The sequence below is a fragment of the Homo sapiens genome, chromosome 12 (genome assembly GCF_000001405.40).
Source record: "Homo sapiens chromosome 12, GRCh38.p14 Primary Assembly".
Classification (NCBI taxonomy): Eukaryota; Metazoa; Chordata; class Mammalia; order Primates; family Hominidae; genus Homo; species Homo sapiens.
Window position 1 is genome coordinate 49,225,351 of NC_000012.12, and position 18,104 is coordinate 49,243,454.

Sequence of the window (18,104 nt, forward strand, 5' to 3'; positions counted from 1 at the left end):
TTGAGATGGAGTCTCGTACTGTCACCCAGGCTGGAGTGCAATGGCGTGATCTTGGCTCACTGCAAACTCCGCCTCCCGGGTTCAAGCGATTATCCTGCTTCAGCCTCCCGAGTAGCTAGCTGGGATTACAGGCGCCCACCACCACACCCAGCTAATATTTTGTATTTTTAGTAGAGACAGGGTTTCACCCAGGCTGGTCTCGAACTCCTAACCTTGTGATCCACCTGCCTTGGCCTCCCAAAGTGCTGGGATTACAAGCATGAGCCACTGTGCCCAGCGAAGAATCACTTCCTTCGACATTTTTCTGATTCCTTGAACCTCAACCAAGGAAAACAGTATTTCCTCCTCCCACCAAGGCCCCACAGTGCTCCCCTGCATGTTAGGTGTTGACACTGCTGCCTCCTTGAGGCTGTGTCTTACTCAATGGAGTAGCCTTATCAGCCCACAGGGGCTTAGCAAATAATGAGCTTTTAATAAATGCTTTTGAGCAGTTGAATGAACTGTACTTGAATGGGTTTATATTACAACCCGGTAAACACTAAGTTTGTTCCAAGGAGAACTTCCTACCGGTTGCTCCTGCTCACAGCTCTTGAGGCCACGGGCGTGGCCAGAGCTGGGTCAGGGACAGGGCCACTCCTATGTAAGAGCAGGGCCCAGGCCTCCAGCCTGTTGAGGTCCATCCTGTTCTTCTATGACAGTTGTGTGGCATTTGGTGACTCAGGTTCTAGTACAAGACCACTGAGTTCCCAGTAAACTCAGTAAATTCAGCATTTCTAAACATATAGTCCTTTGACTGGGCGTGGGGGGTCATGCCTGTAATCCCAACACTTTGGGAGGCTGAGGTGGGCAGATCACCTTAGGTCAGGAGTTCAAGACCAGCCTGGCCAACATGATGAAACCCTGTCTCTACTAAAAATACAAAAATTAGCTCAGTGTGGTGGCAGGCACCTGAAGTCCCAGCTACCTGGGAGGCTGAGGCAGGAGAATCGCTTGAACCTGGGAGGTGGAGGTTGCAGCGAGCCAAGATCACGCCACTGCACTCCAGCCTGGGCGACAGAGTGAGACTCTGTCTCAAAAAAATAAGAAAAATAAAAATACAGTCCTTGGGTGAGGAGATTCTTTCCTCAGAGAAAGAAAGTGCTGGTTGGGCGCGGTGGCTCACGCCTGTAATCCCAGCACTTTGGGAGGCCGAGGTGGGTGGATCACCTGAGGTCATGAGTTCGAGACCAGCCTCAACATGGAGAAACCCTGTCTCTACTAAAAATACAAAATTAGCTGGGCGTGGTGGCGCATGCCTATAATCCCAGCTACTCGGGAAGCTGAGGCAGGAGAATTGCTTGAACCTGGGAGGCGGAGGTTGCAGTGAGCCGAGATCGTGCCATTGCACTCCAGCCTGGGCAACAAGAGCGAAACACTGTCTCAAAAAAAAAAAAAAAAAAAGAGAAAGAAAGTGCTTTCCTGGCCAATATAGTTTATTATCAAGCATAGGATAAATTGGAGAAAGGCAGGTTTGTGACAAAACTGATCAGAGGCCGTTTGCATAGTGCCAGGTGTTAAACATCTATTAACTAATTTCATGACACTGTCTTGTCACTTCTCACTTTTGGTCTGTGTTTTTTAATATTCCAAGAAAAGTTATTAGACTAGATGATCTCTAAGATCACTTCCCATTCTATCATTTTATTGTCTGGTTCTTACCTAATACCAATATAATGTGTGTTTGAGATGGTGAAGGTTCAGGAGTTATTGGCCACATTTCACAGATGGGAAACAGGGCAGCGGGGCACGGGGTTTGCTTCAGATCCGTGGGTCCTTGCTGAGCTCTACTTCATTAAGCGATCAATATTTCCTGGCTCCTGAGTGGAACTGCAGTTACATTTCCCTTTGGAAAAGCTGGTCTGTTTTTACCAATAGGCCTGCAGAAAAAAACCAAGGCCGGCCAGGCGCGGTGGCTCATGCCTGTAATCCTAGCACTCTGGGAGGCCGAGGCAGGGGGATGACCTGAGGTCAGGAGTTCGAGGCCAGCTGTCAACATGGTGAAACCCCGTCTCTACTAAAAATACAAAAATTAGCTGGGCGTGGTGGCACATGCCTGTAATCCCAGCTACTCAGGGGGCTCATGCAGGAGATTCGCTTGAACCTGGGATGCGGAGGTTGCAATGAGCTGAGATCTTGCCATTGCATTCCAGCCTGGGCAACAGAGCAAGACTCTGTCTCAAAAAGAAAAAAAGAAAAAAATCAGGGTCAGAGTATTGTTATGAAAAAACACAACAACACCACTTATTCTACTCCCACAGCCTACCTAGGCTTTGAAGCCCACAGTATTGAGAGTAAGAAAACTCAGAGGTGCTAGGACTGCCAGGAGGCATGTAGGAAAGAGGCTAGAGGAGAAGAGGAATAGATTTGAAGCCACTAAGGAGAAATTTCAGTGATCTGTGGACTAGGATGGCGGAGGGGGTGGGGACCTGATCCCAATGGCACAATGACAAGGTCAGCCTCATCTCTTCTCTCTGTTCTTGGCAACAGCCAGTCTAGCCAGAAAGAGCAATCTGTCAAATCTAATTAAAGTAGAAGAAAGTGAACAATGGGCGCCCAGCTCTAAAATGACAGCCTGGTTCAATGGGGTGGAGGAGCTAGGGAGGGATGAGTGCTTTGTGTGCTTGGAATTAGATCCTTCAAATGGATCCTTTCTGAATGCAAAACTGTACATCTCTAACTGGATTCTTATTTACTTCACCAGGACTCTTCAGCTCCCTGCGCCTTTTAACACATGCACATCCAGCAAAAGCAGAGGAGAACCTGGCTGTGATTCAAAGGTAAGGCTGTAATAGTAATGTAATGTAAATAGCTTCATCATGCACGGCTTGGACATGGTACTGTGTGCATGCAACTGATATTTGTGAATTTGCTCCTATTTATTGTTTCATGTTTAATTATATTGGTGGCATTAGTGTTTATCTTATTATTTCTGCAATCCTTTTTATTATAAGGCTTATTATTGGAATATTGAAATTTCAGAGCAGTCTGAAGTTTTATTAGGACCACAAATAGACATATTTTCAGATGCAAAACACATTAATTATATTTTTGTCTTATACTTTAAATGGCCTCCCTGATTTGAATATTTTAGTTTCTGAATCAAAAGTGGGTTGCACAGGGAAGAGGCATATTTTATAAATGGAATCAAATGAGCATATCCCTTAAAATACATGCATGAATACAGGCTATTGAAGCCTAAAAACCATGCATCTGCAGAATCTAAAGTCTCAAATTACAAGAGGCCTGTTATCAGCAAATATTATACTAAAGAATGATTTATTAATTTTACTCTACTTTAGTGTGGGATACTCAGACATCTTAAAGGTGTGAGGAAAAACAATTCTGTGAAGTGGGAGGGAGAGAATGGGAAGAGAGTAGGCGCTAACACAATCTGCAATTTACAAGTCTCTGTTCCCCAGGTTTGGATGGCTTTTCCTATGCGTTATCTCATTTAATCCTCAGGGCACCCTGTGAAGTGTGTTACTATCCTCTCCACTCTGCAGATAAGGAAACTAAGGCTTTGAGAAACCAGCCCAAGGTTACAGAGAAAGGCAGTCGGGCCTTGAACCCAGGTGGTCTGCTTCCAAGTCTATTGAACTTCTCAGGAATATATTTCTGGTAGACACAGGAGACATTAAATTTAGAAAATCATTAAAGTATTAATAATGTCAACATGAGGACACTCCTCTAATCTATTGGTCTTCCCTGGACATGAAGGAGGCGGTGGATTTTAGCTTGGTGTATTTGTATCACTTTCCCCACTTTACTGCATGTTGCGAACCTTTATCTTTTTTGCGTGCGTGTGACAGAGTCTCACCCTGTCGCCCAGGCTGGAGTGCAGTGGCATAATCTCGGCTCACTGCAACCTCTGCCTCCTGGGTTCAAGCAATTCTTTGCCTCAGCCTCCCGAATAACTAGGATTACAGCTGTGCACCACCATGCCCAGCTAATTTTTGTATTTTTAGTAGAGACAGGGTTTCACCATCTTGGCCAGGCTGATCTTGAACTCCTGACCTCAGGTGATCCGCCCGCCTTGGCCTCCCAAAGTGCTGGCATTACAGGCGTGAGCCACCACACCCAGTCTATTTTTTAACAGCATCACTTGTTTCTTTTCTGTCCTTTCTTTCTTTACATACCCCTTATACGAATAAATTATCTTGTAAAAAGACAAAGGAAAAGTCTGCCGGTACTGCTCACTTCACCCCAAACCCAGTCCTCTCCCCAAAGAAACCCCTGTTAACAATTTGGGGGTGTAACCAACTATTTCTTACCTGTTTGCATAGAGGTGTGTGTGTGTGTGTGTGTGTGCACATCACATTGTTTTGTGTGACTTTTTAAGAGATAAATGGTGCCATGTTGTGCTTTTTATTCTTAACTTGCTTTTTTTTTCTTTTTAAATTTATTTCATTATTTTATTTTTTGAGATGGAGTCTTGCTCTGTCGCCCAGGCTGCAATGGCACAGTATAGGCTTACTACAACCTCTGCCTCCTGGGTTCAAGCGATTCTCCTGCCTCAGCCTCCCTAGTAGCTGGGACTATAGGCGTGTACCACCATACCTGGCTAATTTTTGTATTTTTAATAGAGACAAGGTTTCACCATGTTGGCCAGGCAGGTCTCAAACTCCTGACTTCGTGATCTGCTTGCCTTGGCCTCCCAAAGTGCCGGGATTACAGGCATAAGTCAACATCCTGGCCTTTTTTTTTTTTTTCTTTTTTAGAACAGTCTATGCCTTGTGGAGATCTTTACCTGGCAGTATGCTTAAATCTAATTCATTCTATTTAACTCTTACATAGCATTCCATGCATAATGACTTGTACTGTTTTCTCTTGACCTCATCTGTGCTTTTGAAATGGTTTAATGGCATACAAGTCAACATTTAACCATATTTGTATTTATGGGGCAGGGAGAGACAGGTGCAAGCTTTCTGGCTGGCTGGAGTGTTACTAAAAACATAGGAGAAGAAGGAAAGGTGAGACACGCCCACGCCAGTACTGTGAGCCCAAGTGAGAGGCCTGGGGCAGGTACAGTGTTATCAGTAGATTCGTTCCCTCTCTGCCTCTGAATATTTGAGCATTTACCTTTTTCTTGAGCCCAGCTGTTCTCCAGACATTTATTCCTTATATATGAGATAACAATAACATCCTCCACAGGGTGCCATGGGGATTAAACTAGAAAATGCACAGGAGAAGACATCAAGCCCAGGCATACTGCGACATGTTCCGTTATGAATTGTGCCTGTGCTGACCCTTTTCCCTCTCCCTCTCAAATCATGTATTGCTTTTTAAATTTTATTTGAGCTCGTTTGCTCTGAAGGACTATCCCTCTCACTTCAGATATTAGGTTGCAAGGCTCAAAGCAGGGTGGTTAATAAATGGAGCTATGGAGGTCATCATGAGATGTTCTGGTGCAGGATTTTGCCTGAAAGCATTGGAAACTGACTGAGAGCTGGACTCAAGTCCTGATGTGGACACTTACTAGCGGTGTGACTTGGGTAATGTTTTGTCATCTGGAAAATAAGCGTAATCCTAATAGTAATACTTAAGTCTGTGGGGTGTGGTCAGATATAAATGAGATAATGTATGAAAAGAACTTAGTATCGTTTCTGGTATACAGGAAGGTCAGCTGCTGTCATTGTTATTTAGAAAGGTTGCACCATCTCCACTTCTGTTTTCTGGCTATAAAGTATCACTGTCTAGCTTCCTCAGAAGTGACAATAAAAACAGGCTTAATCTCAGAGCACAGCTGTTTGTTGTTCCATTAGTCCATCATTATTTTTTAATTGTTGTTTTTTATAGTCAGGGTCTCATTCTATTGCCCAGGCTGTAGTGCAATGGTGCAATTATAGCTCACTACAGCCTTAAACTCCTGGGCTCAAGTGATCCTCCTGTCTCACCCTCCCAAGGAGTTGGGACTAACTACGGGCATGCACCACCACTCCCAGCTCTAATTTTTAAAAAATTTTTGTAGATATAGGATCTTGTGTTGCCCAGACTGGTCTCATACTCCTGGGCTCAAGCAATCCTCCCACCTCAGCCTCCCAAAGTGCTGGGATTACAGGTGTGAGCCAGCACTAATTTCTTTTTTAAGTATTCCGAGTGACCACTGCATGTGTAATACCTTGCTGGGCACTGTGCGAAATATAAAGGAAGTGCGAAACAGGGCTCTTGCCCTCAAAGTGCTTACAACTTTTAAATTTAATCTCCTTAACACTGGAGAGAACACGGCGTAGTATTGTGAACGTATGTGCCATGGCTATTTTTCTTTAAACTTCTGCTACTTAAAAAAAATAGATGATAGATAGATAGATAGACAGACAGACAGACAGACAGATAGATAGATAGATAGATGGAGTCTCGCTATGTTGACTAGGCTGGTCTCGAACTCCTGGCCTCAATTGATCCTCCCATCTCAGCCTCCTGAAGGGCTAGGATTACAGGCATGCACCACTGCGCCTGGCCTTCTGTTACTTTCAGAGGCATCCATAATTCTTGGACACCTGCTCATATGTTCTGTGTCTAGCTTCAGAATTATTGTAGAAGCTTGCCTGAACGTCACCTATAGAACCTGAGCCATTAGATCATCTATCCCTAAACGCTAATGCTGGGCTGATTTCCTGGCTGGGGGTGGCTCTCATTTCCTCCAGAGGGCCTGACAGAAGGAGGACAAGAGCTGATTGGGAGGAGCTGCCCTCAGGGCCACCCAACGCTTGCTTTCACAGTAACCTGCAGATAGTCCCTTGTTCTGGACACAACAGGAGTGGATATTTAGCAAGCAGATGAAATCCAAAGAGCAGAAACTGTCTGAAAGGGCCTGAGGATGCTGTGTGAAGGGAATGAAGCAACCTCATTTTTGCGGATAAATTCCCCGGAAATAAACCTATAGTATTTACAAAATGTCCACCTTGTCCTTCTCAGCACAGTAAGCTTTCTCTGACCCACAGAACCCATTTTCTGTTTGGATATGAACTCATTGCAGCCTGCCCAACATGAAATTCCAACTGGACATAAAAGGGCACTTCAGCTGTCAAGCCACGTGTGGATTTCGGTTTAAGAATCAGCCCAGGCAGCAGATGCTCCAAGTGCTTGGGGAGTGGCACGCCTATTCCTGATACAGAAGTCAGGCACCCTTTGTCTTGATCCCCCACTTAAATCAGGGATAGGCAATTCTGAATTTTTAAAAAGGCGCTATGTTAAATCCTTCTTATGAGAAAAAAATATCACTTATAATGTAGAAAGTTGAGGTTTCTCAGAGAGCTCTCCCTTTTACTGCTGAAGGGGCTTCTCAGCAGGCAAAGATATCTGCTCAGTAACTTATACTTCTGTGAAGAAGAGATTCCTAAGTGTAAGATGTATGACTTGTCGTTTTGGGGTTAAGTACAATCCCAAACACTCTGTCTCCACCACCTTTTTTCTGGAGGTGTTCTTTTTATTTTATTTTTTCAAAGTGGGGCACATTTCAGAAATTTTTGCTGGGAAACTCAGAATACAAACTTAACGGCATGTTAAAATTCTAAAAATAGTTTGACCCTGCATTTCACAGAGTTCAGGGCTTCAAAACTGTGCTGTCCAAACATGATTGGTGATTAATTGATTTTGACCCCCTGCAAGAAGTGAAAGCAGCTGGTTTACGAGACTTGAGAGACAGCCGATTTTCCAAGGGAGAACAAAGAAAAAGTGGCCACCCCTCCCCGCTGGGAGCGCGCTTTGCTTTGTCTGAGCGGACTCTCTCCAGGGACTGCCGCCGGGGAGGCTCAAAGCTGTGTCCTTGCGATTAGTTTGGTACACTTGGTTCAGCAGCCTGGGGAATGTGGGGAGATGTGTGCCTGCACAGTATCAACGTTATCAGCTGCCCTGTTCATGTCGCCTCTCCCTGAAGGACACTTTCATAACACAGTAACACTTAGGAGAAGGTTCCCCTCCTTTACTTCTGTTTCTCTGCTGATAAACAAATGTCAGGCATCTTCCTGGATCCGGGCCCTGATTCACTAAGTTACTGTATATCCATTGCCCTTTTTTGTCCTCCAAACACTGAGCTCTCAGTGCTCTTCTGGCTGGATCCAGATTGTGAAGATTACAGCCCCACTGGTTCCTTTCAGGACTTGGGGGCCCAACATTCCATCTCCAGGGCCTCAAGGAGCCTTCCATTCCTGATGGGTTCCCAATTACCGTGTTTCTGGTGCTACCAGACAAAAGAGAAGGCCCTGTTTTGACCCAGAGCCCTATAGCTGTGCCCTGATGGGAGATGGGAATTTTGATGTCTGACAACCTGATCAACAGCGTGACTCCTAGACCGAGTGAACCGTGGTCCGTCCACGAGCCTTCATCACTAGAGGAAAAACGGAGATGAATGATTATGACGCTTGAAGCAACGAACCTCTGCAAGTAGGAGGGTCCGGAAGGTTATTCCGGAATCACTGGGCAAGGTGAAGGGCAGGGCTGCGTAAGCGAAAGCGTCTGCTCAGTGCAGGGCAGCATAAACTCTGCAACATAAAAAGAGGGAAGCTGAGCTCTGGCATCATCTTGCGGGTTGCAGTTCCCGGCAACAGGGCTGGCTCCAGAGCAGAAGCGCAACCCGTCATCTTCCTGCGGGCCGCAGCCATAGGTGGAGAAAGGTGGTACCACAAGGCTCTCCCACTGGATGACGGTGACGCGCAATAAGCAGATGATTGCAGAGGCTCCTGTCAAATGGGTGCAGAGAAAAGGGAAGTGGGGAGAGGAGGAGGGACCTAGAAATGGCACTGCAACGATCCTGGAATAAAAACGAGGGGCCACAGTCAGAAATGACAAACGCCTCCACCTTGAAACGCAACCCCTAGCCCATTTATCCAATTTGCCTCTGATAACTGCTTTTAATATGTTGTAAATCCCATTAAAGCAGGAGAGAATAAATGAAAGCAGTCCCCTACCAGGTTCTAATTTTCATTCTCCTTTAGCATTGTCTTAAATAACAAGGACACCCTAAAAATCAAGTCCACCCTGTTTAGCTGTGGCAAGCGCTAAAAACCGTTAAGTTCGTTGAAACACTACTCTCCAAACCAGAGTAGGCTTCCAGGTTTCTCTGCAGAGCAGAAAGGAGGCTGTGGTTGTGTCCATGACTTTGCTTCCTTGGTTAGTACGGTGACGTGCAGCGCCAGGGCCTGGGCCTGGGCTCGGGCTCCCACCCGCGTGGCGCCGCAGTCCTGGCGAGCCCCGAGCGCTCTGTCCCCGGTGACCAGCAGGCGGCGCTATCTCCAGGCCGCAGCCGCCGCCCCGCCCGCCACGAAGGCCACTTCCGCCGCGGCCCGGCGAGCGCGCCCCCGCCACGCCCTGCTGTTTAGAAGCGGCCTTTCTTCACATATCGCTGTCCGCGAAAGTTTCTGAACTCTTGTGACAATTAATGCTGTTTGAAAACCTCCCTCTTGGGTCTTTTGGAAGAGTGGACATCCTAAAAAAAATTTTCTTTTTGGAGACGGAGTATTGCTTTTGTTGCCCAGGCTGGAGTGCACTGGCGCGATCTCGGCTCACTGCAACCTCCGCCTCCCAGATTCAAGCGATTCTCCTGCCTCAGACTCCCGAGTATTTGGGATTACAGGCACCCGCCACCACGCCCATCTGATTTTTGTATTTTTAGTAGAGACGGGGTTTCACCATGTTGGTCAGGCTGGTCTCGAATTCCTGTCCTCGTGATCCGCCCGCCTCGGCCTCCCAAAGTGCTGGGATTACAGGCGTGAGCGACTGCGCCCGGCCAAAAAAAAAAAAAAAATTAATTTGGGATTGCGTAATCAAAAAGTCTTTTAGACATCTCAAATGCATTGCAACTTATTCGAATAAAAAGGGCTCCTGACACGGACAAAAAGGCAGTATAGGTTGAAAATTAGAATGCTTAAAAAAAAAAAAAATTCCCCTTCCTGTTAGTTCCAGATTTTTCTGCAAGCTTGGAGGACAGCTCGCGAAAATTCAGCTGGGGCGCCATCTGCTGGACGCGCCGCGCCGCTGCAAGGCCCTTTCCGGAAAGGTGTCGGGGTTGCAGGTCAGCGCCCCATTTTTTGTCCAGGAGAGACTCGCTGGCACCTTGGCTGGACCAGGCTGGGCGCAGTGGCTCACACCTGTAATCCCAACACTTTGGGAGGCCGAGGCAGGTGGATCACCTGAGGTCAGGAGTTTGAGACCAGTCTGGCCAACATGGTGAAACCCCGTCTCTACTAAAAATACAAAGAGTAGCTGGGCCTGGTGGTGCGCGCCTGTAATTCCAGCTACTCGGGAGGCTGAGGCAGAATTGCTTGAACCTGGCAGGCGAAAGTTACAGTTCGCCTGGGAGGCGAAAGTTGCACTCCAGCCTGGGTGACAGGGTGAGACTCGGTCTCAAAAAAAAAAAAAAAAAAATCTTACATAGTTTTTAAAAAATAAAAAGAGACCAGGCTGACTCTCTGCAAGAAAGTGGCCTGTGTTGAGGAGCCCTCGGGCCTCAATGAGTCGTCATTTGTTACATTGCTGGTCTCTGAGGAAAACCTGAGGCTCAACTCATTTAATTTCCTCCACCGGCCCACGGGCACAGGGCTACAAACTAAAACTATGCTTTCCATCAGTGCACACAGCGGGTTTCAGGGACAGAAATCACAATGTGCTTATTCTGAATGCTTCTGATTTTGCTGAATGGGAGGAGTTTCCAAGGTGAAGAGGGTGACAGAAATGAAATTAATCTGGGAGTAGGGAGATGTTAAAATGTGGCCTTGCCACGGTTTGATATAAGATCATGAAGCCCTGCCAACATTTTCCAAACTCCTCAGTCAGTTCTGATTCAGTTGAAGATTTTTCTATTTAGAAGACTTCAGGCCCTTTTCACATGAGGGTCTAAATGCATTAGCAAACACATTTATACATATACTTCAGCATGAGCCTGCATTCCCCGGTATTGCACTTTGTTAAAGTCCATAATCAGAAAACGTTGGGAGAACTGGTAGAAAGCAGAATATTAGAGCAGATTGCAGTTGGCCCACCCACCCGGAAAAATATGGTATGAGGGATAGAAAGCATTTGTAATGGAAACATGTTATCAAGCATAGTTCTGACCCGGCAAACCTTGATAGTTACTTTCCAACAAAACTGAATGTTGTATTCAGAGATGAGCTTATGATGATTTTCCTGAAAGAGATGAAGTAGCTTTATCAACAGTATAGCCTACTGAAGCCTCACTGATTATGTAGTCCTTGGGGTCCATGTCATGTGACTTCCATATAAGTCATGTGTCATTTAATGACTGATACTTTCTGAGAAATGCATCCTTAGGCAATTTCATCACTGTGCAAACATAGAGTGCACATACACAAACCTAGGTGGTAGTGTCTTCTACACTCCTAGGCTATATAACACAGCCTATTGCTCCTAGGCTTCAAAACTATATAGCATGTAACTGTACTGAATACTGTAGGCAATTATAACACCATGATAAGTATTCCTGTATCTAAACATAGCTAAACAGAAAAGGAACAGTATTTGATACAGTCCGGATTATGATATTATAATCTTACGGAACCACCATCATTAATGAGGTCCACCATTGACTGAAACATCATTATGCAAAGCATGACTGTATAGTCAATATGTTATAAGGACATCCTTTGGTACTTCAATAACTAAGCCCTCGTGAATGAGACCTGCTGATTCTACCATGATACTGATCATAGAGAAAATGTTAACTTTCTATATGGGTGCTTGAAGAAGATACTCAGACAACTAACAAAACGAGATGAGAAATAAGATAAAAATCCGGGCCAGGCATCGTGGCTCACACCTGTAGTCCCAACACTTTGGGAGGCTGAGGCAGGTGGATCATCTGAGGCCAGGAGTTCAAGACCAGCCTGACCAACATGGAGAAACCCCATCTCTACTAAAAATACAAAATTAGCCGGGAGTGGTGGCGCGTACCTGTAATCCCAGCTACTCGGGAGGCTGAGGCAGGAGAATTGCTTGAACCTGGGAGCGGAGGTTGCGGTGAGCCGAGATCGTGCCATTGCCCTCCAGCCTGGGCAATGAGTGAAACTCCGTCTCAAAAAAAAAAGGAAAAAAGAAAAATAAGATAAAAATCTACCCTGGGCTGGATGTGGTGGCTCACACCTGTAATCCCAACACTTTGGGAGGCTGAGGCAGGAGGATCACTTGAGCCCAGGAGTTCAAGACCAGCCTGGGCAACACAGTGAGACCCCTGTCTCTATTAAAAGTTTTCAAAATTAGCCACATGTGGTGGCATGTGCCTGCAGTCCCAGCTACTTGGGAGGCCAAGGTAAGAGTATCCCTTGAGCCTAGGAGTTCGAGGGTGCAGTGAGTATGATCGCGCCACTGCACTCTGGCCTGGGTGACAGAGACCCTGTCAAAAAAAAAAAAGAGAGAGAGAGAAAGAGGGGTGGGGAGGCAGGGAGGAAGGAAAGGAAAAAGGAAAGGGAATGGAGGGGAAGGGAAGAAACCAGGTGCAGTGGCTCACACCTGTAATCCCGGCACTTTGGGAGGCTGAAGCAGGTGGATTACTTGAGGTCACGAGTTTGAGACTAGCCTGGCCAACTTTGGGAAAACTCGTCTCTACTAAAAATCCTAAAATTAGCTGGGCATGGTGGTGGGCGCCTGTAATCCCAGCTACTCAGGAGGCTGAGGCAGGAGAATAGCTTGAACCTGGGAGGCAGAGGTTGCAGTGAGCCAAGATTGTTCCACTGCACTCCAGCCTGGGTGACAAGAGCGAGATTCCGCCTCAAAAAAAAAAAAAAAGTTCACTCCGGCAATGCATGAGTGAACTGTATCAGAAAACTAGTAAGACGAAGTTATTGGGTATCGAACTGTGACTAGAATAGGAAATACTGATGGCTAGTGCCACATCTATTGTATCCCACAATTCTGCTAATGTGAAAATATATAAGAAAAAACTAATTTAGTTTCTCCTGTGCTGTCACTCAACAATCAACACAGAATACTTCTGTGACCTCTGGTCACCAAAATTTGTGTGGGGATTTTTCCCCACCAACAATCAATCAGTTCTTTTCTGCAATGGATAGTAGCTGGGTGTTCTCTAATTCAATTCTCACACTACCTGGAGAGCCTCGGATCCCACGAGGACTGAGTCCCATGAGACTGAGCCCCGCTTAGGATGCTGATTGCGAGCCCCAGGTGGTTTTTACTGGCTATAAATGAGGGTTCCCACAACCTCCTCCTTGGGATCAATTAATTTGCTAGAATGGCTCACACAACTCAAGGAAGCACTTATTTTTGTTTACCGGTTTATTACAAAAGATATTCATTTTAAAATTTTTTTGCTTATTTTTATATTTAAAAAATTTGTTTACAGACAAGGTCTCACTGTGTTACCCAGGCTAATTTTGAACTCCTGGGCTCAAGCATGAGCCACCACACCTGGCTACAAAGGATATTTTCAAGGATGCAAATAAACAACCAGATAGAGAGATGCATAGGGCGAGGTACGGAGGAAGGGGCACCAAGCGTCCACGCCGTCCCTGGGCACACCACTCTCCAGGAACCTCTACGTGTTCAGCCATCCAGAAGCTCTCTGAACCCTGCCCTTTTGGGTTTTTACTGAGGCTTCATTACATAGGAATGATTGATTAAACCATTGGCCATTTGATGGTCAGCTTAACCTTCAGCCCCTCTCCCCTCCCTGGAAGTTCCAGCCCTCTGGGAATGTGGCTGGTTCCCCTGGCAACCGGATCCCCATCCACTGTAGCCATCCTGATTTTCGCCTCATTAATGTAAACTCAGGTGTCTTGAAGAGTTTGGTAAAAATAACAAAAGATTGTCTGTCTTCCACCTTTATTACTCAAGCTTTTCCTGAGCTGCTTCAAGACTCAGGACAAAAGGCCTTTAACAAAAGATATTGCTCTAGTCACTTAGGAAATGACAAGGCTTACAGGAGCTGAGAGCCAGGAATAGTGGAGGAAAACCAAAATATATACATCATAACGTCACATAATGTATTAATATTTGTAGAGTTGGCCGCGTGGGGTGGCTCATACCTATAATCCCAGCACTTTGGGAGGCCGAAGCGGGCGGATCACCTGAGGTCAGCAGTTTGAGACCAGCCTGGCCAACATGGTGAAACCCCATCTCTACTAAAAATACAAAAATTAGCCAGGTGTGGTGGCATGTGCCTGTAGTCCCAGCTACTCAGGAGGCTGAGGCAAGAGAATTACTTGAACCCATGAGGTGGAGGTCGCAGCGAACTGAGATTTCACCACTGCACTCCATCCTGGGCGACAGAGTAAGACTCTGTCTCAAAAAGAAAAAAAAAAAAAAGAAATAAATTGCGTGAAGCTGGGTGCAGCTGCGTACTCCTGTAGTCCCAGCTACTCGGGAGGCTGAGTCGGGAGGATCGTGTGAGCCCAGGAGTTGGGAGTCCAGCCCTGGCAACAGAGAGATGGTATTTCTAAATAAATAAATAGCTTGATAACAAATCAGCACTGAATATTGGCATTAAGTAGAGAGTCTAGCATCTCTCAGCAAAGGTTTTTTCAGGGCCTCTGGCTTGGGACAGGACCAGGACGGGAGGTAGAGCAGTGGGATATTCCACTTGTGTGGCACAAGTCAGTCCCTTGAAACTGTTTTCTCTTGTTGTTCTGCTTATTTCAGTTGCTTGTTTGCTAGGAGGGTGCCTCCACCCTCAGAGCACAGACACACACACACACACACACACACACACACACACACACACACCCTGCCTTTTTCCTCACAGACATCCCAAGAGCATTCTCTGAGCATTATTTTTGGGGACGCCAATATAAAAAGGCTGCCCACTCCCCTGGCAGTTGAACTCAGGATTCAAATATTTATGTTTGGCAAAAAGCAAGGGGAAAACTTTTCTGGAGATGACCTCTCCCTTGACTTTCAGCTTGTTCTATAATTGGGCTTTTGAGAATATGTGACCATTCTCTGAAAAAAAAAAAAAAAAAAAGAAAGAAACACTAAATTCAGTAGTTTCTATCTGGACCCTAGAGTTAAGTGTGTCCCTCACATTGAAATCCTGATTCCACAGAGGAACTGCCTTAAAAATATCAATTCAACTCATTTTTGTGTTTTCAGTATAGATCAGTCCTCTTCTCTCCTCTCCCCACAAAATATCAGGCTTATCAGAGGGTCTTGGCTTTCTGGCCACTTCCTGGACCCCCACAGGGTGCCCCTGCTGTGAGTTGGCAGCACCTCCAAGTTCCCCATTGTGGCTCTTTTATCTACTTATTTATTTTTGGGACAGGGTCTCTCTCTGTCACCCATGCTCGAGTGCAGTGGTGCGAACACTGCTCAGTGCAACTTCGACCTCCCGGGCTCAAGTGGTCCTTCTGCCTCAGCCTTCCGAGTAGCTGGCACTACAGGCGTGCACCACCACACTGGACTAATTTTTTTTATTATTATTTTTTTGTAGAGATGGACTCTCACTACATTGTCCAGGCTGTTCTTGAACTCCTGGGTTCAAGCGGTTCTCCCACCTCAGCCTCACAAAGTGTTGGGATTACAGGCATTAGCCACTGCCCCCAGCCCATCATAGCTCTTTTTTTCTTTTTGAGATGGAGTCTCACTCTGTCACCCAGGCTGGAGGGCAGTGGCGAGATCTCAGCTTACTGTAATCTCTGCCTCCTGGGTTCAAGCGATTCTCCCGCCTCAGCCTCCCAAGTAGCTAGGACTATAGGAGTGCACCACCACGGCCAGCAAATTTTTGTATTTTTAGTCGAGACAGGGTTTCACCATGTTGGCCAGGCTGGTCTTGAACTCCTGACCTCAGGTGAACCGCCCGCCTCGGCCTCCCAAAGTGCTAGGATTACAGGCTTGAGCCACCATGCCTGGTCCCATCTTAGCTCTTATAATACCATATATAATATGATTTATCTGTGTCTTCCATACCAGACACTTAAATTTTATGAGAATGGGGCCAAGATTATCATGTTCATTTTGCACCCCCAGTGCCTAACTAGTGCCTCAGACCAGGCAAATGTTAGGTAGGATTCAACACTGAGATGGGAGGGAAAGGTGTTTCCATTGGAGGAACTGGCAGGACCACATACAAAGGTATAGACCTGGAAGAGTGACAAGGAGCATGAATGTGGTTTGCTTCAGCCTGAAGGGACTGACAGGAGGTAAGATGGGGTGATTATGATGTGAGTGTGAGTTTAAGGCAGTGGTCATCAGAACTTGAAATAGTTACAATTCATGCAATTTCTGGTGTATGATAAATGCTTTACACATATTTTCCTCCCCTCCCTCCCTCCCTCCCTGCCTTCCTTCCTCCCTTCCTTTCTTCCTTCCTTCCTTCCTTTTTTGAGAGTCTCGCTCTGCCCCCAGGCTGGAGTGCAATGGCGCGATCTCAGCTCACTGCAACCTCTGCCTCCCGGATTCAAGCAATTCTCCTGCCTCAGCCTCCCAAGTAGCTGGGACTACAGGCGCACGCCGACACGCCCGGCTAATTTTTTGTATTTTAGTAGAGATTGGGTTTTACTATGTTGCCCAGGCTGGTCACGAACTCCTGAGCTTGGGCAATCCGCTCACCTCAGCCTCCCAAAGTGCTAGGATTACAGGTGTGAGCCACTGTGCCCAGCCTTTATACATATTTTCATCAAAACTTAGAGCCTTCTTTCTTTCTTTTTTTTTTTTTTTGAGACAGAATTTCATTCTTGTTGCCCAGGCTGGAGTGCAGTGGCGTGATCTCAGCCCACTGCAGCCTCCGCCTCCTGGATTCAAGTGATTCTCCTGCCTCAGCCTCCCGAGTAACTGGGATTACAGGTGCCCGCCACCACACCTGGCTAATTTTTTGTATTTTTGGTAGAGATGGGGTTTCACCATGTTGGCCAGGCTGGTTTTGTACTCCTGGCCTCAAGCAATTCACCTGTCTTGGCCTCCCAAAGTTCTGGGATTACAGGTGTGAGCCACTGCACCCGGCCAAAAGTTTACAGCCTTCTTAGACAAGGTGGCATGAGGAAAAAAATGTGGTTTGGAGCCACAGATCTAGCTCCTTCCATTTGTAGAAAATATTACTTAACTAGCAAAACCAGTCCCCATGGCCAAACCAATCAGTCAAATGGAGTTATTTTGTTTTTTTGTTTTGTGTTGTGTGTGTTTTTGTTTTGTTTTGTGTTGAGATGGGGTCTTGCTCTGTCACTCAGGCTGGAGTGCAGTGGCACAATCCTAGCTCACTGCAGCCTCAAATCCCCAGGTTCAAGCAATCCTCCCACCTCAGCCTCCCGAGTAGCTGGGACTGAAGGTGCACACCACCACACCCAGCTAATTTCCAGCTAATTTTTTTGTTGTTGTTGTTATTTATACAGACAGGGTCTCCCTGTGTTGCCCAGGCTGTTCTCAAACTCCTAGTCTCAAGCAATCCTCCTGCCTCGGCCTCCCAAAGTGCTGGGAATACAGGTATGAGCTACCGCGCCTGGCTCATCTGTGACTTCTAATTCTGTTGTTGTTGTTTTGAGACAGGGTCTTACTCTGTTGCCCAAGCTGCAGTGCAATGGTGTGATCTCAGCTCACTGCAACCTCTGCCTCCCAGGCTCAAGCTGATCCTCCCACCTTAGTGGCCTGAGTAGCTGGGACTACAGGCGCATGCACCACCACACCCAGCTAATTTTTGTATTTTTAATAGAGACAGGGTTTTTGACATGTTGCTCGGGCTGGTCTCGAACTTCTAGGCTCAAGTAATCTGCCTGCCTCAGCCTCTGGAAGTGCTGGGATTACAGGTGTGAACCACCGTGCCCGGTCGTGACTTCCAATTCTAAGAAGCTTGCCGTGAATTTGTTAAGATGAAATAAGGTGCAGGCTGGTTGCGGTGGCTCATGCCTGTAATCCTAGCACTTTGGGAGGACAAGGTGGGCGGATCACCTGAGGTCAGGAGTTCAAGACCAGCCTGGCCAACATGGAGAAAACCCCATCTCTACTAAAAATACAAAAAATAGCTGGTGGCGCGCGCCTGGAGTCCCAGCTACTAGCCAAGCTAAGGCGGGAGAATTGGTTGAATCTGGGAGACAGAGGTTGCAGTGAGCCAAGATTGCACCACTGCCCTACAGCCTGGGTGACAGTGTGAGACTCCATCTCCAGAAAAAAAAAGA

The 18,104-nt window shown here is 46.5% G+C and overlaps 1 protein-coding gene across 4 annotated transcripts in view, besides 1 other annotated feature; it reads left to right on the forward strand.

Moving 5' to 3' along the window:
* The first annotated feature begins 2,575 nt into the window (after positions 1–2,575).
* The window catches only part of TUBA1C (tubulin alpha 1c), a 46,675-nt gene continuing 31,146 nt past the window's right edge, over positions 2,576–18,104 (forward strand). For 3 of the 4 annotated variants that reach the window (NM_001303115.2, NM_001303116.2, NM_001303117.2), the window contains exon 1: positions 2,669–2,816. Coding sequence is in view for 1 of the 4 variants with exons in the window: in NM_001303114.1 (NP_001290043.1) it covers positions 2,604–2,816 (213 nt within the window). In the remaining 3 variants the exon portion in view is untranslated. Of the gene's footprint in view, positions 2,817–18,104 lie in introns of all 4 variants that reach the window. The other variant, NM_001303114.1, reaches the window with a different exon arrangement.
* Positions 9,127–9,416: a silencer, noted in NCBI's record as "silent region_4426". NCBI's record gives its function as "represses an Ori minimal core promoter by ATAC-STARR-seq in GM12878 lymphoblastoid cells {active_cell/tissue: GM12878}" and the evidence as "EXISTENCE:reporter gene assay evidence [ECO:0000049][PMID:35858748]".